A 25761-nucleotide genomic window follows, 5' to 3' on the forward strand; every position below is an offset into this window, starting at 1 on the left:
TTTACAACATCACCACTCATGCCTGAGTTTTTCTACTCATTAAGTGGAGGTAATAATATTTGTCTTTTCTGCCTAGTACAATGAGGAGTATAAGCAAATGGAAGGGAGGTTTTGAAATCCTGGCAATCTAAAGGATGTTCTTCAGGCTCCCTAGAACACATCTGAGTAGAAAATGTGTAAAATATACATAAACCAAATCAAGTCATCCAGAGCAACATTAGGTAAGATTTTCATTCCCAAATTAAAAATAGAAAAGAAAAGCAATGATAAAAATTAAACACTAGCTATTTTGCAAAGTTATAAAACTGTAAAATTCCAAGAGAGTATATTAAATGTTTTTAACACATGTATGTGGGGGGTCACATGCTAGCCATAGAGACAGATCTTAAGGTAAGCCAAGAAGAGGAAAATATTTAATGTAGATTACAAGAGCTATAAAGAAAAATTCTCTAAAGTTATAAAGCATAAAACATTTTATTTTGGATGTAGAAAAGTATTAAATATTCCATAAAGGGCTTTAGAATCATTTTTCTCTATTATCCTTTCAGAGATCTGATAAGGCAGATTTATAATTGCAATCAGTTACACATGAGGTAACTGAAGTTGAATAGAGGAAAAAATATCATTGTGAAAAGAATTCAAACAAGCTTTTCAATTCTATTTCTCAGTCTCTGGGTATAACAAATGAAATTTACTTTCAAGCTTGCCAATTTATTGCAAATTCAAATAAGAGACTAGATATTTAGAACCCGGTTTAGAAATGATTTTAAACACTATTTTTTAAAGAAGCTTCACTTGAAGCACATTATATGTAATGAAGTATTTTGAAAGTGTTAACACAATAGCAATTACCATAAAACTTTAAAAGTTGTCAGCACAATAGGTCTCTTGTGCCTCTTAGTGACTTTAGGACTAACACAGATCATTATAGCAATTCAAAATTGTCCAACTTGGTGTGGCACGGTGGCTCACGCCTGTAATCCTAGCACTTTGGGAGGCCAAAGCAGGCGGATCACTTGAGGCCAGGAGTTCAAGAGCAGCCTGGGCAACATGGCAAAACACTGTCTCTACTAAAACTACGAAAATTAGCCAGGCATAGTGGCATGTGTCTGTAGTCCCAGCTGTTTGGGAGGCTGAGGTGGGAGGATCGCTTGAAACCAGGAGCTGGAAGTTGCAGTGAGACCAGATGGTGCCATTGCACTCCAGCCTGGGTGACAGAGTGAGACCCTGTCTCAAAAATAAAAAAAAATTGTCCAGCCATCTTCTAGAACAATGACAGCTATCAAACTGAGGATTAAGATGAGGTACAAAGTACTTTGAATCCCTAAATTGGGCCAACTTTTGATAATGCTTTTACTGATGTCAGATAAGATGCATACAAAACACCTCATTTGTTATCAAACTACTTTGAAACCCACTCTTTAGGAAAATAATTTTAGTCTCCTAAGTCGTTTCACATGTGCAAGCATTTCCTGCAGACTGGTTGCCTTTCGCCTTCCACTTTTACACTTAGACAAATCTCACATGCCTTCACTGATCAAATAATTAACGGATGGGTACTTTCTATAGAAAATATAACTTCAGGCCGGGCAAGCCGGGTGCAGTGGCTCACCCCTGTAATCCTAGCACTTTGGGAGGCCAAGGCAGGTGGATCACGAGGTCAGGAGTTCGAGACCAGCCTGGCCAACATGGTGAAATCTCATCTCTACTAAAAATACAAAAATTAGCCAGGCATGGTGGCATGCGCCTGTAGTCCCAGCTACTCGGGAGGCTGAGGCAAGAGAATCACTTGAACCTGGGGGGCGGAGTTTGTGGTTAGCTGAGATCATGCCACTGCACTCCCACCTGGGCAACAGAGCGAGATTCCATTTAAAAAAAAAAAAAAGAAAAGAGAAAGAAAATAAAACTTCAGGCTGGGCTCAGTGGCTGACATCTGTAATCCCAGCACTTTGGGAGGCTGAGGCGGGTGGATCACGAGATCAGGAGTTCGAGACCAGTGTGACCAACACGGTGAAACCCCATCTTTACTAAAAATACAAAAATGAGCCGGATGTCATGGCATGGACCTGTAATCCCAACTACTTAGGAGGCTGAGGCAGGAGAATCGCTTGAACCCTGGATGGGGAGGTTGCAGTGAGCCGAGATAGCACCACTGCACTCCAGCCTGAGCGACAGAGCGAGACTCCATCTCAAAAAAAAAAAGAAAAAGAAAATATAACTTCAGTGTTTGTAGATGAGAGATACATGTATAGCCCAGAGTACATGAGGATGCCTACTATGCTTTGCCAACCACACCTACTTCTCACAAGCTGAGGCCAAATCTGTGAAGTCAGTGACACTCTCCAAGACTCTAAAAAAAAATCCCAGTATACACTGTCCTCCGTCACCAGCCCACTCTCTATATTTCATTTTATGCTTTATCAACTTGATATCAAGACAAGAACTGCAAAATGGTCTTTACCAAAATTGTCTTTTCCACAATTCTTCCCAAGCAAATATTAGGGTTTTTTTTTTTTCCTATTAAAACATATGTAGGTTTAAAATATATAAACGATTGCTTAAATCAATTTCAATCAATAGTTTTCTGGCTCTAGTAAAAAAAACGTTCACCTTAGGATACATAAGTAGTGTGCAAACAATGGGGAGAAAGTAATGACTAACATTCACTGATACTATGTGCTAGGCTTTTGATAAAATTAACTCGCTTGATCCTCACAACTCTAGGACATAGGTACAATTACTATCCTTATTTTGCAAAGAAATTGAGGCACGGAGCAGTTAAGTAACTTGCCCAAGGTCATCCAACAAAGCTTAGCTTAAATCAATGCAGCAGCCCTCCAGAGCCAGCCTCCTGAACCCAGGCACTATTTGTACACACAGAGAGCGAGAGAGAGAGAGAGTTCTTCAACTCCAAACTAGCACTCTCTTTTCTGTTTGATACTGGGAATGTAACTTCTTTGTGGACATGCAGGGGACAATGTGATCTAAACACACAAAACACAAGTAGAGACAAAGTTAATTAATATATACTATAGGGCTGAGTGCAGTGGCTCATGCCTATAATCCCAGCACTTCGAGAGGCCGAGGCAGGAAGATCTCTTGAGCCCAGGAAGTAGCGACTGCAGTGAGTTATGACTACACCACTGCACTCCAGGCTGGGTGATGGAGTGAGACCCCTGTCTCTAAAAAGATATAGATATAGGGCTGAGCATCATGGTTCACGCCTAAATACCAGCATTTTGGGAGGCCAAGATGGGAGGATTGCTTGAGGTCAGGAGTTCAAGACCAGCCTGGTCAACATAGCAAGAGCCCCATCTCTAAAAAAATTAAATTAAATTAAATTAAAATACAGACATAGATATAGAATAGCCCCAGCATTTCCTTGGTCATGAGGAACTGGCCATTTTCTCCTAGAGCAAATGTGTTTGGTTCCTTGACAGATTCCCTCATAATCTCTCCTTACTACACAGTCTTAGATTATTGAGAAGAAAACACCAGAGGGGGTGTTTACAGTCCAGTGCTCTGATTAAAGATGGGTTTATATGGTTATATGCTAATGACATATGGATGACACATCACAGCTGATGGGTCGTAATGGAGCACTCAGAACTTCGGCATCTCATTTAATCATCACCACCATCCGTCCAGTGAGCTCAGCATTATTATACTTGGTGTACAGACAGGCCATATTGTCCAGTACACAGAAAAACTGGGATTCCTATCTTCTACCTCCAAAGTGGGTTCTTCCCCTCACCACGGGACTTACTGCGACAGAAAACGAAAAACCAAAACCATGTAACCAAACAACTTGGAGCATCTGTTCTACCCATGTTTTTAATCTGTCCACATATTCCTCTTCTGAATTCCATGAAAAATGACTGGTTTTCAATTCATTTGGAAGTTAGCTATATATGGCCTTGGTATACCACCTCTATTATTTTATTGCAACTTAATTTGCATATGGGTATATTATTCCCCTTTCAGTAATAAGTAACACACCATTCCTCACTTGGCTTTTTCCTGTTTTCACCCATCCCACAAGACTCAGGTCTTGCATTACTTACTCCCAGAAGGCTTCCTTGCCTCATCCCCACCTTGAATTTGTGTTTGGTGCACTTCCTGGGCCTCCACAGCCGCCTGAGTTCATCCTCATAAGGCCAGGCACAGTGGTTCATGCCTGTAATCCCAGCACTTTGGGAGGCCAAGATGGGTCGATCATTTGAGCACAGGAGTTTGAGACCAGCCTGGCCAACATGGCAAAACTCATGTTTGTTTGTTTGTTTCTTTTGTAAAGAATATTTTTACAGTCCTTTTTTGATATCAAGTTGACACAGCATAAAATGAAATATAGAGAGTGGTCTGGTGAAGGAGGACAGTGTATCTTGGGATTTTTTTGTGGGGGTGCCTTGGGGAGTGTCACTGATTTCGCAGACTTGGCCTCAACTTGTGACAGAAACCCGTCTCTACTAAAAATACAAAAAGTAGCTGGATGTGGTGGCACACGCCTGTAGTCCCAGCTACTTGGGAGGCTGAAGTAGGAGATCACTTGAACCTGGGAGGTTGAGGTCACAGTGAGCCGTGATCACGCAACCGTACTCCAGCCTGGGTGACAGAACAAGACTCTGTCTCAAAAACAAAATAGGCTGGGTGTGGTGGCTAAGACCTGTAATCCAAGCACTTTGGGAGGCTGAGGTGGGCGGATCACTTGAGGTCAGGAGTTTGAGACCAGCCTGGTGAACATGATGACACCCCGTATCTACTAAAAATACAAAAACTAGCCAGGCATGGTGGCACAAGCCTATAATCCCAGATACTCTGGAGGCTGACGTGGGAGAATCGCTTGAACCTGGGAGATGGAGGTTGCAGTGAGCCGAGATCGCACCACTGCACTCCCGCCTGGGCGACAGAGCAAGGCTCCATCTCAAAAGATAAAAATAAAAACCGTAAAATGACAACAATAAAAAAAACCCCACTGCACTGATTTCACTTGCCTCCTGTTTTCCCCAGAAGGGAAAGTCCTTACCTTTCTCCCGGAAGGCTTTTATTTCTGAACCTCCAGTGCCCTACACAGTGCATGCCATGAAGCAAACGCCTAAGTATGTTCCTGTAATCAGGTAATAAATAACCATGTGAGAGTCCAGAGCTGCAGGCTCCACTCCTGGCTCTGTGACCACATGTGGGCTTTTCAGTGAGGCCCTACACACCTCTGGTTATCAGGTTCTTTAACTCTAAATCAAGGAGGCTGAACTGAAACTATGATGACCCTTTCAGCTCCAAAGTCCCACTGCTCTGTCATTCTGATTCTTTGTGTCTCCCACAAAATCTAGGACAACTCTGGAAGGACACAGTAGGTTCTCAATGAATGTCTATTCATTTGACTGTAGTAATCCTGGATAGTGGATGATGGACTTAAAAAAAAAAAAACAGCCCAACGCTAAAATTTTCTGTAGCTGCTGGGAGTCCAGCTAGATATTCTGGATAACAGACACAGTGGGGACCAAATACCCTGAGAGCAAGGAAGTAAGATGTGACTGCAGATTTGCTTTTGTTGCAGTTTGAGTTTTTTTTTTTTTTTTTTTGAGATGGAGTCTCTCTCTGTCACCCAGGCTGGAGTGTAATGGTGCAATCTTGGCTCACTGCAACCTCTGCCTCCCAGGCTCAAGGAATTCTCCTGCCTCAGCCTCCTGAGTAGCTGGGATTACAGAGATGCCCCACTGTGCCCAGCTAATTTTAGTATTTTTAGTAGAGATGGGTTTTCACCATGTTCCCCAGGCTGGTCTTGAACTCCTGACCTCAGGTTATCCACCCACCACTGCCTCCCAAAGTGCTGGGATTACAGGTGTGAGCCACCGCACCCAGCCTAATAATTTTAAAAATATGGCCCAAAGGCTTCAGATTTATGGCAATCAATCTTAGGTAACTTATTTGGATATGCACTTTGTTCAAGTAAGTGAGTGAACACACAAAAAAAGTTGGAGAGGGATAGAAAATGAGAGGAGAAAAGAGGAGAAAGGATTCAAAGTTGCAAACTTTAAGACAAATCAATCAGAAAGTAGATATCAACACTGCAGAAGGATTTTCCATTTTACACAAGGAATACAAGCTTGCATTGAACAGTAAATAGGATGTTTTTATTTTGCTAAATTTGGCTTACATCTAAATTTTTAAAAACAAATCCATCAAATAAAGCAAAGTATGTATTTAATTACATTTGCAAAAGTTTATCTGAATCATTTCCAGTTGTTAAAATAGCTACCATGAGTCCCATGCCATAGCTCCATTGTATTGCTAGATCACTTAAAAATTGAGGTTGACCTTTTGTGTGTTTTGGGGGGTATTTTATTTATTTATTTTTTCAATTTGACTGTCATTTTATTTATTTATCTTTTTTTTTTTTTTTTTTGAGATAGGGTCTTGCTCTGTCACCCAGGTTGGAGTGCAGTGGCACAATTATAGCTCACTGCAGCCTCAAACTCCTGGGCTCAAGCAATCCTCCTGCCTCAGCCTCCTGGGTAGTTGGTACTACAGGCATGTGCCACCATACCTGGCTAATTAAAAAAATTTTTTTTTTTAGATATGGGGTCTCTTTATACTACCCAGGCTGGTCTCAAACTCCTGGCTTTAAGCAATCCTCCTGCCTCAACCTCCCAAGGTAGTGGAATTACAGGTGTGAGCCACTGCTGTTTACCTATTTTTTTATTTTTAAAAATGTATATTAAAAAAATTTTAATACATATGAGACACTTCACAAATTTGTGTGTCATCCTTGCACAGGCGCCATGCTAATCTGCTCTGTATTGTTCCAGCTTTTAGTATATGAGAACTATTTTTTTTTTTTGTTTTTCTGAGACAGTCTCACTTCACCACCCAGGCTGGTGTGCAGTGGTAGAATCTTGGCTCATTGCAACCTCCACCTCCCGAGTTCAAGTGATTCTCATGCCTCAGCCTCCCAAGTAGCTGGAATTACAGGTGTGCACCACCACACCTGGCTAATTTTTGTATTTTTAGTAGAGATGGGGTTTCGCGATGTTGGCCAGGCTGGTCTTGAACTCCTGACCTCAAAAGATCCACTCTCCTTGGCCTCCCAAAGTGCTGAGATTACAGGCATAAGCCACCACACCTGGCCTGAGCACTATTTTTTAATTGATACATATTAGAGATTCATATTTCGGAGTACATGGGATAACTTGATACATTTACACAATCAAATCAGGATAATTGGGATATTCATCACCTTAACTAGGAGCATTCAAGTTATTCTCTTCTAGCTATTTTAATTATTCTATCCTGGCCGGGTGTGATGGCTCACCCCTGTTATCCCAGCACTTTGAGAGGCCGAGGAGGGCAGATCACTTGAGCCCAGGAGTTTGAGACCAGCCTGGGCAACATGGTGAAACTCCTCTACAGAAAAATACAGAAATTAGCCAGGCTTGGTGGTGCACACCTGTAGTCCCAGCTATTTGGGAGGCTGAGGCTGGAAAATTGCTTGAGTGCAGCAAGTTGAGGCTGCAGTGAGGCCTGATTGTGTCACTGGACTGCAGCCTGTGTGACAGAGGGAGACCCTGTCTCAAACAGAAACAAAAACAAACATAAAATGTGCAGTCAATTAATGTTAACTGTAGTTACTCTACTGATCTATCGAACACCAGGTCTTATTTCTTTTAAGTGTGTATTTGTACCCATTAATCGACCTCTCTTCATCCCCCTCTCCCTGCTACCCTTCCCAGCCTCTGGTAACCACCAATCTACTCTCTATCTTTATAAGAGCTACTTTTTTAGCTCCCTCGTATGAGTGAGAACATGAGCTATTTGTCTCCCTATGCCTGCCTTATTTCACTTAACATAATGACCTCTAGTTCCATCCATGTTGCTGCAAATAACACAACTTCACTCTTTTTTTTTTTTTTTTTTTTGAGATGGAGTCTCGCTCTGTCACCCAGGCTGGAGTGCAGTGGTGTGATCTCCGCTCACGGCAACCTCAGCCTCCTGGGTTCAAGCAATTCTCCCACCTCAGCCTCCCGAGTAGCTGGAATTACAGGTGCCCACCACTACGCCCAGCTAATTTTTGTATTTTTAGTAGAGACAGGGTTTCTCCATGTTGGCCAGGCTGGTCTCGAACTCTTGACCTCAGGCAATCTGCCCACCTCAGCCTCCCAAAGTGCTGGGATTACAGGCATGAGCCACCACACACGGCCAACTTCACTCTTTTTAATGGCTGGATAATATTCCATTGTGTATATAGGCCATATTTTGTTCATTCATCCATTGATGAACAGACCTTTTCTAATTAAACATTTTTAGAATATAAGAATAAAGGCCGGGCGCGGTGGCTCATGCCTGTAATCCCAGCACTTTGGGAGGCCGAGGCGGGCAGATCACAAGGTCAGGAGATTGAGACCATCCTGGATAACACAGTGAAACCCCGTCTCTACTAAAAATACAAAACAAAATTAGCTGGGTGTGGTGGTGGGCGCCTGTAGTCCCAGCTACTCGGGAGGCTGAGGCAGCAGAATGGTGTGAACCCGGGAGGAGGAGCTTGCAGTGAGCTGAGATTGTACCACTGCACTCCAGCCTAGGTGGCAGAGCCAGACTCCATCTCAAAAAAAAAAAAAAAAAAAAAGAATATAAGAATAAAAGACCTAATTATGTGTTTAAAGGTATTCTAGAAAAACAGTGACTTGCACATTCAAATATAATTATCATTGCCTCTAAGATTATTTATTGTCACAGTAGAAAGTCCCCCGTAACATACACACACACAAATAATGTATGATTTCTAGCTCTATGTTTGTCACTGGTGTTAACTGAAGTCTTGCTTGAATTTTCTATTTAAACTTAGAGAATGTTGTTAAACACAAAACAATCATTAAAAAAAAACTAGTAAGAAAACTAATGGTCAAAGAATTATTTAACATGCTCGTATAGTATAACATTCTTTACTAGAGTTAAGTGAAATAACTTGTTAAGGCAAAAGCTTATCAAAGTGGCATCTTTGACAGGCTCAATCTTCCTAAAAGAAGCCATAGGGAATAGTGGCTAGGGGCAAAAAATAAATAATGGAGTCTCCGTTTCTTCCACTTACGATCTCTTCACAATCTCTCTGTGCCTCAATTCTTTTTTTGAGACAGGGTCTTGCTCTGTTGCCTAGGCTGGAGTGCAGTGGCATGATCTCAGCTCACCACAGTCTCTGTCTCCTGGGTTCAAGCGATTCTCATGCCTCAGCCTCCCTAATAGCTGGGACCACAGGCACGCACCACCTGCTCGGCTAATTTTTGTATTTTTAGTAGAGATGGGGTTTCACAATGTTGGCCAGGTTGGTCTCAAACTCCTGACCTCAAGTGATCTGCCCACCTCGGCCTCCCAAAATGCTGGGATTACAGGCGTAAGCGACTATGACTGGCTGTTCCTCAGTTCTTCCTTCATTTTTAAAATGGGAGTGATGATAACAGTAGTACCTTACAGTGTTGTTGAACAAATTAGTTAATATAAAGTGTGTAGGACAGCGTCAGGTCCCCAGTAATTCCTATTTAAATGTTTGCTTTTTTTTTTTTTTTTGAAACAGAGTCTCACTCTGTCTCCCAAGCTGGTGTGCAATGGTACGATCCTGACTCACTGCAACCTCCGCCTCCTGGGTTCAAGTGATTCTCCTGTCTCAGCCTCCTGAGTAGCTTGGACTACAGGCGCACACCACCACGCCCAGCTAATTTTTTTATTTTTAGTAGAGACAGGGTTTCACCATGCTGGCCAGGATGGTCTCGATCTCCTGACCTCGTGATCTACCCGCCTCAGCCTCCCAAAGTGCTGGGATTATAGGCGTGAGCCACCGAGCCTGGCCAACATTTGCTATTATTATTAGTGAGACAGAAGATAGGACTGGAATATTCAAATGAGATAATATCTATATATAAGGACAATATACATTTTTATTCTACTTTCTGCCAGCTCTCTGTGAATGTTCTGACAAGCCCAATTTTCTTTTATCTTTCTTTTTGTTTTTATTTTTGTTTTTGAGACAAGGTCTCACCCTGTCACACAGGCAGAGTACAGTGGCCCAATCACAGCTCACTGTGCCTCCATCTCCCAGGCTCAAGCCATCCTACCACCTCAGCCTCCCAAGTAGCTGGAACCACGGGCGATTGCCACTACACCTGGCTAATTTTTCTTCTTTTCTTTGTAGAGACAGAATCTTGTTACGTTGCCCAGGCTGGTCTTAAACTCCTGCATTCAAGTGATCCTCCTGCCTTGACTTCCCAAAGTGCTGGGATTATAGGCACGAGCCACCATACCCAGCCACCAATTTTGTTTCCTTTCTGCAATTTCTCTGTGCATTATGACAATGACTGCCCAGGTCATTATGGTGCCCTGGTCAGTTGGTGGCAGTTTTTACAGCTTCTGTATTGCTGGCATAAAATCCTAGGGAAATACAGGCTTTCTAAGCTTTTTGTATGGCTTCAGGTTTATTTCTGGTTACCAGGGCTTTCGCCTGTTGTACATCATATTTTAACACAGTTGGTTAAGAAATGGTGGTTCGTTGATAGGTGTGAACTCAAGCTAACCCACCTCAATGATCCACCTACATTTCTCTTGCCTCATTGCATGTAAGCCTCCTTTCTGCCTCAGGATGTTAAGTCCTCCACAAACAGACTGTCCCATTCCAACTCTGCAAACTCTGTCCTGCCTACTTATGTGAAATTAATGATCGCTAAAATGTCATAGGTGTTACCGAGGGCAAGAGAAAAATATTTAAGGGACATGGCACACAGTATTGATTGCTTACCCCAACCTATTCTCTTTCTTCCTTGCCAACAGACACCCAATTTTTCCTCTCTAGAAAAGTAACCCTATAAGGCCAGGCAGGCGTGGTGGCTCATGCCTGTAATCCCAGCACCTTGGGAGGCTGAGGGGGGGGTGGATCATCTGAGGTCAGGAGTTCGAGACCAGCCTGACCAATATGGTCTAACCCCTCTACTAAAAATACAAAAATTATCTAGGCATAGTGGCGTGTGCCTGTAGTCCCAGCTACTCACGAGGCTGAGACAGGAGAATAGCTTTAACTCACGAGGCGGAGGCTGCAGTGAGCCAAGATTGCACCACTGTACTCCAGCCTGGGCAACAAAGCAAGACTCCGTCTCAAAAAAAAAAAAAAAAAAAAAGGAAAAAAAAATGGAAAAGGAAAAGAAAAAGAAAAGTAACCCTATAGTGAGCTCAGCTCAGGGATAAGTCCTGTATATTCTAATGGCCATTCCATTCCCCTTCCCAGTGACTGGTTTATGGGGTGAGCATGTGACTAGTATCTCATCAATGACATAGAGAGGAACCTGGCTGGGCGTGGTGACTCACCGCTGTAATCCTAACACTTCGGGAGGCCAAGGCAGGTGGATCACTTGAGGTCAGGAGTTTGAAACCAGCCTGGCCAACATGGTGAAACCCCAACTCTCCTAAAAATACAAAAAAATCAGCCAGGCATGGTGGCAGACACCTGTAATCCCAGCTACTCAGGAGTCTGAGGCAGGAGAATTGCTTGAACCTGGGAGGCAGAGGTTGCAATGAGCTGAGATTGCGCCACTGCACTCTAGCCTGGGTGACAGAGCGAGCCTCCATCTCAAAAAAAAAAAAAAAAAAAGGAATCTTCCAGGGGGTTTATTTGGAGTATTTCTTTTCTGGACTGAAAAAAGAGGGCCAGACACGGTGGCTCATGCCTGTAATCCCAGCACTTTGGGAGGCTGAGGTGAGTGGATCACAAGGTCAGGAGATCAAGACCATCCTGGCCAACATGGTGAAACCCCACCTCTACTAAAATATAAAAAATTAGTTGGGCATGGTGGTGCATGCCTGTAGACCCAGCTACTCAGGAGGCTGAGACAGGGGAATCGTTTGAACCTGGGAGGCGGAGGTTGCAGTGAGCCAAGATTGTGCCACTGCACTCCAGCCTGGTGACAGAGCAAGACTCTGTCTCAAAAAAGAAAGAAAAAAAGAAAAAGATAAAACAGAATACCAAATACCCTAATTTCTTGCATTGGATATTGTTTTTGTTGTTGTTGTTGTTCCAATGTGATTCCTAGAATTGCTGCAGCCACTCCGCAACAACGAAAGCTATCAGAGGATAAGTCAACATGTTGACAACGGCAGCGACAGAAAGAAATAGGGTCCTGATGAGGTCACTGAGCCATGGATTAAGCAGCACTGGGGCTGCCCCACTTTTGAACGTCTTATTGAGTGAGGGAGAGTATATTTTTCTTATTGTTGAAGATAGTTGTCTGGGCTTTCTGTTACTTGAAACTTAAGAAAACCAAGGGCGACTGAGCAGAGTGGTTCATGAGGATAATTGCAGCACTTTGGGAGGCAGAGGCAGGCAGATCGTCTGAGTTCAAGAGATTGAGACCAGCCTGGGGAACATGGTGAAACTCGATCTCTACAAAAATATACAAAAATTAGTCAGACATGGTGGTGCGCGCCTGTAGCCCAGCTACTAGGCAGGCTGAGGTGGGAGGATTACCTGAACTCAGAGGTTGAGCCAAGATTGCACCACTGCACTCCAAACTGGGCAACAGGAGTGAGGCCCTGTCTCAAAAAGAAAACCAAAACAAAATTGATGTCTTCAAGAGGAAAATAACCTAATGATATGCCTGCAGAGTAAGACAGAGAGAGAACATGAGCTGCTTAATGATGGATTCAAGATATATATTTTTTAAAAATTTAAATATACATTTTAAACTAAAAAATTTTAACAAAAAAAGAGGAGTTTCATCATGTTGCCCAGGCTGGTCTAGAATTTCTGAGCTCAAGCAATCGGCCTGCTCCAGCCCCCCAGAGTGATAGGATTACAGGTGTGTGCCACCACAACTGGCCAGATTCAGGACATATTTTAATCTATTGGGGGTTTTGTGTGTGTGTGTGTGTTTCTTTTAATTTTTAAAATATGGAACGCTTCATGAAGTTGTATGTCATCCTTGCGCAGGAGCCATGCTGATCTTCTCTGTATTGTTCCAATTTTGGTATATGTGCTGCTGGAGTGAGCACTTAATCTATTGTTTTAATTGAAAAAATAACCTGTCCAGGCGAGGTGGCTCACACCTGTAATCTCAGCACTTTGGGAGGCTGAGGTAGGCGGATCATTTGAGATTGGGAGTTCAACACCAGTCTGGCCAACATGGTGAAACCCCGTTTCTACTAAAAATGCAAAAAGTAGCTGGGTGTGATGGCATGCACCTGTAATCCCAGCTACTTGGGAGGTTGAGGTGAGAGGATTGCTTAAGCCCAGGAGTTCAAGGCTGTAGTGGGCTATGATTCTGCCACTGCAATCCAGCCTGGGCGACAGAGTGAGACTCCATCAAAAAGAAAGGAAAGAAAAGGAAGAAAGGAAGAAAGAAAGGAAGAAAGGAAGAAACGGAAAGGAAAGGAAGGAAGGAAGGAAGGAAGAGAGGAGGAGAGGGAGGGAAGGAGGGAGGGAAGAAAGAGAGAAGGAATAACCTGCCCGGGCACAGTGGCTCACGCCTGTAATCTCAGAACTTTGGGAGGCCGAGGTGGGCGGATTACCTAAGATCAGGAGTTTGAAACTAGCCTGGCCAACATGGTGAAACCCCCGTCTCTACTAAAAATACAGAAACTAGCCAGGCATGGTGGCAGGCACCTGTAATCCCAGCTACTCAGGAGGCTGAGGCAGGAGAATTGCTCCAATCCCAAAGGCGGAGATTGCACCATTGCACTCCAGCCTGAGTGACAAGAGCAAAACTCCATCTCAGAAAAAAGAAAGAGAGAGAGAGAGAGAAAGAAAGAAAGAAAAGAAAGAAAGAAAGAAAAGAAAGAAAGAAAGAATAACCTCTCCTTTTACTTACATAAAGGCTGATTTTTTAAAATAATCTCTCAATAAACTGTGTAAAGAATATTTAGTGCTGCACTGAATACAAAACTGAGGACTTTATTCAAAGATGGTGTAGACCAAAGTCACATTAATTTTTTTGTTAAATGCCTCTAATTCATCAGATAGCCAAATCAGAAGTCAAATCTGGCATCCATCCTTTATCATAAAGGTATGGAGCTTACCTTAGGCGTTACTATGAAAAGAAATTCAGTGTCAATTGTTCAAATAACTAGCCCATTAACTGACTCCCCAAATCTGATACAATGATTAGCTGCAGACAAGCCTAACTAACCGCAGTACTGAGACTGGATTTGGGAAAGAATGCAAAAGTGTGTTTACTTTTAATGAACTAACTAAAGGGAAAGCATTCCTTAAACCTCCCTCCAGTTGGGCAACCACTTTATAAAAATTAAAATTTCATCATATCAGAACAAAGAAATGCAGAATCAGGGCCAGCAAGAATGTGCAGTTATTTGTCATTCTGCTCTAATTCCTCTACCAAAATGGACTACTCATGGCCATTTTACTAGAACTGTGATTAGAAAGCTTGGGCATCTCAGTTAAAAAGTGCACATTGGCCAGGTGCAGTGGCTCTCACCTGTATTCCCAGCAATTTGGGAGGCCAAGGCAAGAGGATAACTTGAGGCCAGGGGTTCAAGACCAGCCTGGGCAACATAGTGAGACCCCCCGCATCTGTACAAAAATAAAAAAAAATTAGCCAGATGTGTTGTTTGCTTGCTTGTAGTAGGAGGCTGAGGCAAGAGGATTGCTCGAGGCCAGGAATTCGAGGCTGCAGTGAGCTGTGATCATGCTACTGCACTCCAGTCTGGGTAACAAAGTGAGACCTTGCCTCTAAAAAAGAAAAAAGAAAAAGCTCATGTCTTTAAAGTAGTTTGCTCCTGGCACTCTAGGTTGTGGTTCTCTTGAAGCCTATATATTTGGGATTGTACAAAATATATTCTCAAGCATTTTAACTTTTAGCTTGTCAACTGTTGGAGTTTCAGGATTCACATCTCTTATTTAAAAACAAAATAGGTTTCAGTGTTGTCATATACCTGGTTAATGTCACCTGCCTGTTTAATGGACACTGTACTTCCTTTCCACCATTTATTATAGAAAATCCCACCCCTTGTCCCCTGTGTCTACTGATTGTCCTCAATTTTCTGTTCACTGATGATTCAGAAGCAAAGAGATGATGGATGTAACTCTCAGACAGCCTAAGCCTCACAACTGGGGAGGAAAAAGGGCATGACCACTTCATATCTTTAGCTTGGTACACAGAAACCAGGTTCTTTCTACTGACTCTCAAAGGACGTTCTGACCTTTTTGATTTGGTTTCCTACTACAGGATTTGTCTAAGATCACCGTATAGTACTACAAGAATGTCAATAACCATCTGCCAAACTATAAAAGGAGAAAAGACTAGGAGCCAAACTGGCTATGTAATTTACCATGGTGAGTGACAGGACACACTGACCTTATTTGACAAACCCTGAAGCCAGATCTGGTCCCAGCTCAATAAAGAAGAGAGTACAGCAGAGTGATGAGCACTCGAGCTCTAGGACTAGATAGACCCATGAATCTCAGCCCCAGTCCCTCCTAGCCAGTGGACCTTGGGGGAAATAATTTAATTTAAAACTCTTTGCTTTTCTTGTCCCTTTTTTTTTTTTCTGAGACGGAGTCTCACTCTGTCACCTAGGCTAGGGTGCAGTAGCACAATCATAGCTCACTACAGCTCGAACTCCTGGGCTCAAGCAATTCTCCCAACCACAGCCTCCTGAGTAGCTGGGCCTACAGATGTGCACCACCACACCTGGCTAATTTTTGTATTTTTAATAGAGACAGGGTTTCACCGTGTTGGCTAGGCTGGTCTCAAACTCCTGACCTCAAATGATCTGCCTGCCTTGGCCTCCCAAAGTACTGGGATTACAGGTGTGAACCAGCATGCTCAGCCTAAAATTTCTTTAATAGAGAGGAGCTCTCTCTCTGTTGCCCAGGCTGGTCTCAAACTTCTGGGCTCAAGTGATCCTCCTGCCTCGGTTTCCCAAAGTGCTAGGATTAGAGACATGAGCCATCCAACCCAGCCACGGTAACTGTTTTAAACAGCGGGATATAAAACAATATACACAATATGTTATAGTTTTGTCTATATTTAATTTAGGGTTTTGCTTTTGTTTTTTGTTTTGAGACAACATCTCACTCTGTCACCTAGGCTAGAATGCAGTGGAGAGAACAGGGCTCACTGCAGCCTCAACCTCCCAGGCTCAAAAAATCTTCCTGCCTTAGGCCCCTGCCTAGCTGGGACCACAGGTTCATGCCATCACACCTGGTTAACTTTTTTAGTTTTTGTAGAGATGGGGTCTCATTTTGCTGTTCAGGCTGCTCTTGAATTCCTGGGTTCAAGTGGTCGTCCTGCTTTGGCCTCCCAAAGTGCTGGAATTACACGACCAGCCAATATTTAAATATTTAAATACACAGATATCTCCTAGAAGAAAATACTTTAAAACATGATCTCAGAATGTCAGGATTACAGGTGATTCATGTATCTTTCCTTTTGCTTGTCCACTAAATTGTTTTAATCTCTTTTTTTGCATACAGACTTTTATATAAATGCATAAATGTGATCATAAATTTATACTTTATTTTCTCCTTTTTTGCTTGATTCTTTCACTCATGTAGTTGCTTGATTGCTCATGCAACAATAAATTCTTCCCATGAATACTTCACTTTTTTTCCTTCTAGAATATGAATCCTGATATTTCACTCTTTTTTTTGTTCCAACACAAGGTCTCAATATCCCCCAGGCTGGAGTACAGTGGCATAATCACTGTACTCACTGTAGCTCACTGTAGCCTTGAACTCTTGGGCTCAAGTGATCCTCCCACCTCAGCCTCCCAAAGTGCTGAGATTACAGACATGAGGCACTGCACTCGGCCTATTATTCTTTTTTTTTTTTTTTAAGTGGCATTCAAAATGAAAAATATCTGGCCAGGCATGGTGGCTCACACCTGTAATCCGAGCACTTTCGGAGGCTAAGGCAGGTGGATCACCTGAGGTCAAAAGTTCGAGACCAGCCTGCCCAACATGGTGAAACCCTGTCTCTACTAAAAATACAAAAAATCAGCTGGTTGTGGTGGCAAGAGCCTGTAATCCTAGTTACTCGGGAGGCTGAGGCAGGACAATCATTTGAACCTGGGAGGCAGAGGTTGCAGTGAGCTGAAATCGTGCCATTGCCCTCCAGCCTGGGCAACAAGAGGGAGACCCCGTCTCAAAAAGAAAAAAAAAAAGAAAATGAATGAGTTTCATTTGGGGCATTATGCATATGTTTACTGAAGGACATATATAAGGACACAGTGCATTACCAACTCTGTTTACAGTTCTTTGAGTTTCTCCAGTGTATACCAGCAATATTAATATTGATAGCAAATGTATTGGCTGCCATGTTCCAGGCATACATACCATTAAATTCACAAAATAATTTGTCAAGCATTATAATAGCATTTCAAGCAATATAATAGCATTGAAGTCAGACATGGATTTGAGTCCAGCTCTATCAATCATATACCATCTGTGTAGCATTGGTCAAATTACTTAAAATTTTCAAGCATTAATTTTTCTCATATATAAAATAGAGGTAAATAAATTTTTTTTAAACTAAGTGATAGAACGTATGTAAAGCACTTAAAAGAGCGTCTGGCATAATTATGTGCTCAATAAGTGTAGAAATGGCCAGGCACAGTGGCTTATGCCTGTAATTTTAGCACTTTGGGAGGCTGAGATGGGAGGATCACTTGAGGCCAGGAGTTCGAGACCAGCCTGGGCAACATAGTGAGACCCTCATCTCTATTTTTTAAAAAGGCAAAAAGAAAAAATGAAGATAAAAAAGTGTAGAAATAATATGTGAGTGTACAGATGTAAAGAAGGCTTGAAAATGTAGTCAAAAATCACATTTCTATTTACAGAGCTGTTCCAATTCTAATGTATCCTAATATTAGTATAAGTAAAATAAAGTTTTAAGATCATTTAGTATGATCTTAAAGCTTGAGATTATACTAAATGGTCTTAAAGCAAAAAGGCACAATTTTTTTTTTTTTTTTTGAGACAGAGTTTCACTCGTTTCCCAGGCTGGAGTGCAATGGCACGATCTTGGCTCACTGCAACCTCTGCCTCCCGGGTTCAAGCGATTCTCCTGCCTTAGCCTGCCAAGTAGCTGGGATTACAGGCACGTGTCACCACGCCCAGCTAATTTTGTACTTTTAGTAGAGATGAGTTTTCTCCATGTTGGTCAGGCTGGTCTCAAACTCCCGACTCAGGTGATCCACCCACCTCGGCCTCCCAAAGTGCTAGGATTACAGGCATGAGCCACCACATAAGCCTCTTTTTAAAAAAATTATTAGGTAAATATAGAAAAAGTGGATAGGTCGTGACCTTCTGAAAAATGCAAACGGATCAGGAAAATCTAAAATGCTAATATTTAGTATCAAAATAATGCTTGAGGGTATAAGTTGTCAGATTCATGGAAATAAAAAAGGTAGAAACTGAGCCTATGTTTTTGAAACTCTTTTTGGTTTTACAATTTCATATAGTATAAAGTGACCTTTTTAAGTATCCTCAGTGTCTTTTAATTAACTCTTTCTTTCTTTTTCTTTTTCTTTTCTTTTTTTTTTTTTTGAGATGCTTTGTCACCCAGGTTGGAGTGCAGTGGCCACATCCGCCTCCTGTGTTCAAGCAGTTCTCGTGCCTCAGCCTCCCAAATGGCTGGGATTATAGGTGCACACCAACACACCTAGCTAATTTTTGTATTTTTAGTAGAGCCAGGGTTTCACCATGTAAAACGCTGGCACACACCTGTGCCACACACCTGTAGATCTGTGATTAGTCAAAATAGCATAAATGCAGATATGTTATATGTTCTATTATATTTAAGAAAGAAAGGATAAAACCAAAAAGGAAAGAGTTAATTGGCTGGGCGTGTTGGCTCACGCCTGTTATCCAGCACTTTGGGAGCCGAGGCCGGTGGATTACTTGAGGTCAAGAGTTTGAGACCAGCCTGGCCAACATGGTGTGTGCCACCATATAGCTAATTTTGTTTATTTTTTATAGAGATGAGGTCTCATTATGTTGTTCAGGCTGGTCTTGAACTCTTGGGCTCAAGTTATTCTCCTGCCTAAGCCTCCCAAAGTGCTGGGATTACAGGTGTGAGCCATCATGCCCAGATACATTTTTTTTTATTAAAAATAATATTATTTGTATTTTCTTATTTCGCAAAAGACTGAGAGGGCAAAAAAAAAAGTTGATTAAAATCACTGAAACATAAATCAAAATTGAGTTATATAGCCCCATGTAAGTTTCACCCATATGAAATATTTCAGTCTAGAGGAAAATCTATTATTTGAATGATTGTTTTATTTATGTAGTCTGCCAGACTATTAGGTAATATATAACATCCAGTTTCATGAATTAAGAGTGCCTGAGATGGCTGGGTGTGGTGGCTCATGCCTGTAATCCCAGCACTTTGGGAGGCCAAGGCAGGTGGATAACCTGAGGTCAGGAGTTTGAGACCAGCTTGGCCAACATGGCAAAACCCTATCTCTACGAAAAATACAAAAATTAGCCGGGTATGGTGACATGTGCCTGCAGTCCCAGCTACTTGGGAAACTGAGGCAGGGGAATAGGTTGAACCCAGGAGATGGAGGTTGCAGTGAGCCGAGATTGTGCGGCTGCACTGTAGCCTGGACAACAGAACAAGACTTTGTCTCAAAAAAAAAAAAAAATGCTTGAGATCTATTTTGTTGCTTTGTGTTTTAATAATAATTATGCTGTGATTCCTAGGGAAATCACTTTGGATATGCTACAGTTTCCTCTTTTAAAAACAATTTAGATCATTTAGTTGTTTGCTTAAATGTCTTTAAAGGCCTTAAATTGAAACAAAATGATATTGAGTTTATTTCTTGTACTCTAAATAAAGATATGAACTATGAGCCATCAGACACAGATCATAGATTGTGATAAACATGGGGAACTCAGCACAAGCCTACAAGAGAGTAAAGTCTTAAACATTCAATTGCCAAAAGATTGACTAAGGCTCTGTTTAATTATTGGTGTTATAAAAAGTGAGTAATATTTACCTGGCCATAATCGTATTGTGTAAAAGTCACTTATCTTTCCTGCCAGGTGCCACATTTCTCACAGTTATTTAAAAGAATGAGAAGAAATCTTTACTCAGTCACTCCTTTCCAAAATGTACCATTCCATCATCTTATATAATTTGGCAGAGGAGAGGATTATTAAGAAAGTTGATAAAAAATAAAAAGTGCCAACCCTAGCTCAGGTTCTGTACAAAATCAGTGACAAATGCCTATGTTAGCAAAGGGTACAAGCAAAAATGCACTACTAAGCAATGCTTTGGCAGTAACTAACTGGTTCAGTACTTATAAGACTTCTGTTAAAAACTCCTCCATATCTGATGCAATCAGTCTATTTGAATGATGAAAATTTTAAGGTGTTTGTTGTTAATAAACCCATATTATAAACATACTGAAAGGGCCTTTCTAGTTTGTTCATGCAAGGGGTTAATGATAAATCCAATTTTGCAGGAATATCAATTCCTAATAGATATGTCATAATGTCTTGGAATAGTGTTGTCACGAAGTTTACACTGACTGTAATTCATTAACTAAACTTTAACATCATCATGCAATATGGGTTCAGGTGACATTGTTGAATACTTTTTGGATTTTGGCAAAGATGCCTTAGAGTCATTAGTTATCTGTCAATAATTTACGAATCCTTTCTGAAATCTGTTAGCAAATATTTTTTATCATTATAAACATATTCTTGTAAATGTGAGTCATTAGAAGTATTCCATGTTGTGGTATCGAATGAGTTCAATGGGGTAGTGAAGGTGTTTAAAACAGAATGTTGTAATGGAAAATGCCCACACTTGCCAAATGGAAAGGGTCAGATGATACCTTGATTGAGAAAAAATAAATACAAAAACTGAGGGTGTGATTTGTTTTGTGTCCTCCCCCCCGCATGGCCAGAACATAAATTGCTTGTTAACTGTCACTGAGGCTGAGTCCCAAGCATCTGTTATTTGTACCACATGTGAACATTACTCTAGCCTCACTTTCAGAAAAATATGTTCATTTCTCACAAAGTACTGAGTACGTATTTCTATTCAATCAGCCTGATGGATAAGCTTCAAAGGACCAAAGTAACTCATTAATATAATGTTTCCTCAACAAGCCAGTGAGTTTTGTAGGAAAGCAAGAGAGTGACAAATGGCAAATAGTGTCTTTTAAAGATTCTGTTAGGAGTTATTAGGCAAGCTGGTAATACTACCACCCCCAATTTTTTGTACATTCTTAAAAATAATTATGTCTGATTAGAGGCAGACAGTATAGCATGAAATTCAATCTTTGTGCTATTACATGCTTTGTTAACCATGTACAATAAGGATGAGAAAAAAAGCAAATCACTTTATTTTTGGATTTATTATTATTAATAATTATTTATTCCTTATTCCTCATTATTTATTATTTCATTTATTATTTAAGAGATAGAGTGTCACTATATTGTGCAGGCTGGTCTCAAACTCCTGCCCTCAAGTGATCCTCTTGCTTCAGCCTTTCAAAGTGCTAGGATTTCAGGTGTTAAGCCACCGTGCCCAGCCACAAATCACTTTATGATGCTGTTTAATTATATGAATCCTATGAGGTCTTCTATAAGGTCTCTAATAGTGTATGTGACTAGGATAGAACTGGTGTCAGAAACAAAACCCAAAAACAGAAACTTTCGTATGTCTTCTAAAATTCCACTAAGGAAGATGTGTCTTTCACTTAAGATCCCAAGTCACAAAGCCCATAATCACTTTTTTTTTTTTTTTTTTGAGATGGAGTGTCACTTTGTCACCCAGGCTGGAGTGCAGTGGCACGATCTTGGCTCACTGCAACTTCCGTCTCCTGGGTTCAAGCAATTCTCCTGCCTCAGCCTCCAGAGTAGCTGGGATTACAGGCGTGTACCACCTTGCCCAGTTAATTTTTTGTATTTTTAGTAGAGACAGGGTTTCACCATGTTGGCCAGGCTGGTCTTGAACTCCTGATGACAAGTGATCCACCTGCCTCAGCCTCCCAAAGTGCTGGGATTACAGGTGTGAGCCACTGCGCCCAACCTCCATATTCACTTTTGATGACACGTTGAGTACTTTCTTTCTCTGACATGATACTGAGTACTTTATTTCTCATTTACATCTTACCACAAAAACTACTGGATTTCATCATTTTTGTCATTTTTACTTATGAGGAATTCAAGCCTTAAAAAAGCCAAGCATTACTTTGCCACCAAGAAGGAGGCAAAGTACAAATGGAAGCCCTGAGCTTTCTGACCTCAAATCCTAGGCTCTTAACCACCCTGCTACCCTGCCTTCATTCTTACCATGATCTCATAATTTGTGCTTATATAGGCTGCATTCAGCAACCCAAACTGACTGGTTTCCTCAGGAAAACTGTCAGAGCTACAACCAGTGCATTGAGAGGATCCGATGGACTATGTAATTTTATGGACTGAATGATATGAAAGGCCTCAGGAAATGTGTATCCAACACTTTGGCAGGTGTAAAAGAAGACCTACATATTTCAAAGCAGTTACAGATGCAAAATACGTCCATAGAAATATATGTTCCACACACTTGGAAGGCTAAGGCAGGAGGATCGCTTGAGCCCAGGAGTTCGACACCAGCCTGGGCAACATGGTGATATACTGTCCCTACAAAAAAATACAAAAATTAGCTGGGCCTCATGGCTCACACCTGTAATCCCAGCACTCTGGGAGGTCGAGGTGGGTGGATCACCTGAGGTCAGGAGTTTGAGACCATCCTGGCCAACATGGTGAAACCCCATCTTTACTAAAAATACAAAAATTAGCTGGGCGTGGTGGTGGGTGCCCGTAATCCCAGCTACTTGGGAGGCTGACATAGAAGAATCACTTGAACCCGGGAGGTGGAGGTTGCAGTGAACCGAGATCATGCCACTGCACTCCAGCCTGGGTGACAGAGTGAGACCTTGTCAAGAAAGAAAGAAGAAAGAAAAGAGAAAGAAGGAAAGAAGGAAAGGAAGGAAGGAAGGAAGGAAGGAAGGAAGGAGAGGGGGAAGGGAGGGGAGGGGCGAGGGGAGGAGGGGAGGGGAGAGGAGAGGAGAGGAAAGGAGAGGGAGAAAAAGAGAGAGAGAGAGAGAAAGAGAGAGAGAGAGAAGATGGGGAAGGTCCCTTCTGGGTTTCCATCTAAAATCAAAGAAGAAATCATTGGTTTCAATAATAATATTTTAAAATCCACCCTATGATTTTTTTTTCTTTAAAAGAAAAATATCAATCTAAGAAAATAATACCTAACATGGTGTTAATGAAAAGTAGGTTGGATTGGTTATGTGTACATAAGAACTTAAAGCTCAAAGGAAAAACAGCACGTATACCAGCATGTTGACCTGGCTCCGCTGACAGCCAGGATTACCAGTTATTTCACTTGGTGTGTACCAGTGCTACTTGGAAACTACCCACCTTCCATGAGCAGGTCTACTCAATAAAATCTTACTTTCATGAGGCTGTGAGGATATCCAAATGGGGACATTTCTTATACTCAGAAGACCACAAGTCACGAATGTGGCCACTTCTGATTCTGACTTCAGGGGTCACCCAGACCCCAAGCCACCCCAACCCGATAAAGGCAAGTTCACCTTGGGCAAAGTTCAGAGCCAGCAGCACAGCTGAAAGGCAGTGGACAGCACTTTCAGATGCTGTATTCCAACATTTCAACTGACATGAAGTGAGGCAAGAGGGGAAATAACTAACAGTAATCTGATTAAAAAACAAAAGAGAAAAAAAAAAGGGCCTGGTGTGGTGGCTCATGCCTGTAATCCCAGCACTTTGGGAGGCCGAGGCGGGTGAATCACCTGAGGTCAGGAGTTCGAGACCAGCCTGGCCAACATGGCAAAACCCCATCTCTACTAAAAATACAAAAATTAGCCGGGCATGGTGGCACGTACCTGTAATCCCAGCTACTAGGGGGGCTGAGGCAGGAGGATTGCTTGAACCTGGGAGGCGGAGGTTGCAGTGAGCCAAGATTGTACCACTGCAGTCCAGCCTGGGCAATGGAGCAAGACTCTGTCATTAAAAAAAAAAAAAAAAAAAGGACTGGCCTGGGTTTACAGGTAGCTCACACCTGTAATCTGAGCACTTGGGGAGGCTGAGGCAGGAGGACTGCTTGAACCCAGGAGACCAACCTGGGCAATACAGCAACACACTGTCTCTACAAAACATTTAAAAAATTAGCTGGGTGTGGTGGTACACATCTGTAGTCCTAGTTACTCAGGAGGCTGAGGCAGGAGGATTGCTTAAGTCCATGAGTCTGAGGTTGCAGTGAGCTATGACTGTGCCACTCCATTCCAGCCTGGGTGACAGAGTGAGATCCCATCTCTAAATAAATTAATAGACCATAAATTCTGTAATGTGAATCTTTAGACAAAGACTGCTAAATCTATCATCTGATATATGAAGTTTTATTACAACAAATGTTTATATATTGAGTTAAAAATTATCTGTACCCATACACACAACCTGCATTTACTTAATTTAAAAGGAGTGTCAATATTAAAATTGAGGATTTTGGCCAGGTGCGGTGGCTCACGCCTATAATTCCAGCACTTTGGGAGGCCGGGTAGATCATTTGAGGTCACAAGTTTGAGACCAGCCTGGCCAACACGGTGAAACCCCGTCTTGACTAAAAATGCAAAAATTAGCCGGGCATGGTGGTGTGCCCCTGTAATCCCAGCTACTGGGGAGGCTGAGGCGGGAGAATTGCTTGAACCCGGGAGACAGAAGCTGCAGTGAGCCGAGATCGTGCCACTGCACTCCAGCCTGGGCAACAGAGCGAGAACCCATCTCAAAAAAAAAAAATTGTTATTTTGTTGTTATTGTTGTTTTTGAAGACAGAGTCTCACTCTGTTGCCCAGGCTGGAGTGCGGTGGCATGATCTTGGATTGTGTTCTTCCAGGGTTGCAGAGAGAAGTGCAACAGCGTCTCATTGCAACCTCTGCCTCCCAGGTTCAAGCAATTCTCCCGCCTCAGCCTCCCAAGTAGCTGGGATTACAGGAGTGCACCATCACACCCAGCTAATTTTTGCATTTTTAGTAGAGATGGAGGTTTCACCATGTTGGCCAGGCTGGTCTCGAACTCCTGACCTCAGGTGATCCGCCTGCCTTGGCTTCCCAAAGTGCTGGGATTACAGGTGTGAGCCACCATGCCCAGCCTAAGAATAATAACTTTATAACTATGAAAAATGTGTTACATATTCACCATTTTGCCAGCATTAATCTCAAAGCATAAGTTTTACCTTTTGGGGATAAAGAGATAGATTGTGTTTTAGCCATATGACCAATGTAGAAACAAGCTAAGGTTAACTCCTCATCTAATGAATAGGCCCGATAAAAAAGTTGGTTGACCACAACATGAATAAATAAATAACCATAAGCTTGGAAATGCTACCTGTAGTATTTCAGAGTGTCGATCACATTTGTAGTCATCACTTAAAGAATTAATGTCTGCCAATGTTATCATCTAAAATGTATTTACAGAGGTCAGAAGAGCTATGTCTGTCCTCCTCTATGCAAAGAGGTGATGACATCAAGGGGTATGTCACAAGCCAAAGTTTAGTTAGCCTAAGTTAGTTAGCTGGTTTGCAGTTTTTATCCACTAAGTCTGATCTTCTGACCCCTCAGTTTTACAACTTTCCACTCTCTGTGCTGCATAGCACCTCTCCACTTCTGAGTTAATCATTTCTTTGCCATTATCTGGCAAGAATTCTTATCTCTTTTGCTGTCACTTTATAACAGGGTCCTCTTATCAACCTG

At 42.0% G+C, this 25761-nt stretch overlaps 2 pseudogenes; both read right to left on the reverse strand.

Moving 5' to 3' along the window:
• Window positions 6730-6832, reverse strand: RNU6-716P (RNA, U6 small nuclear 716, pseudogene; annotated as a pseudogene).
• Window positions 12914-13020, reverse strand: RNU6-609P (RNA, U6 small nuclear 609, pseudogene; annotated as a pseudogene).

This window comes from Homo sapiens, chromosome 1, assembly GCF_000001405.40.
Source record: "Homo sapiens chromosome 1, GRCh38.p14 Primary Assembly".
Classification (NCBI taxonomy): Eukaryota; Metazoa; Chordata; class Mammalia; order Primates; family Hominidae; genus Homo; species Homo sapiens.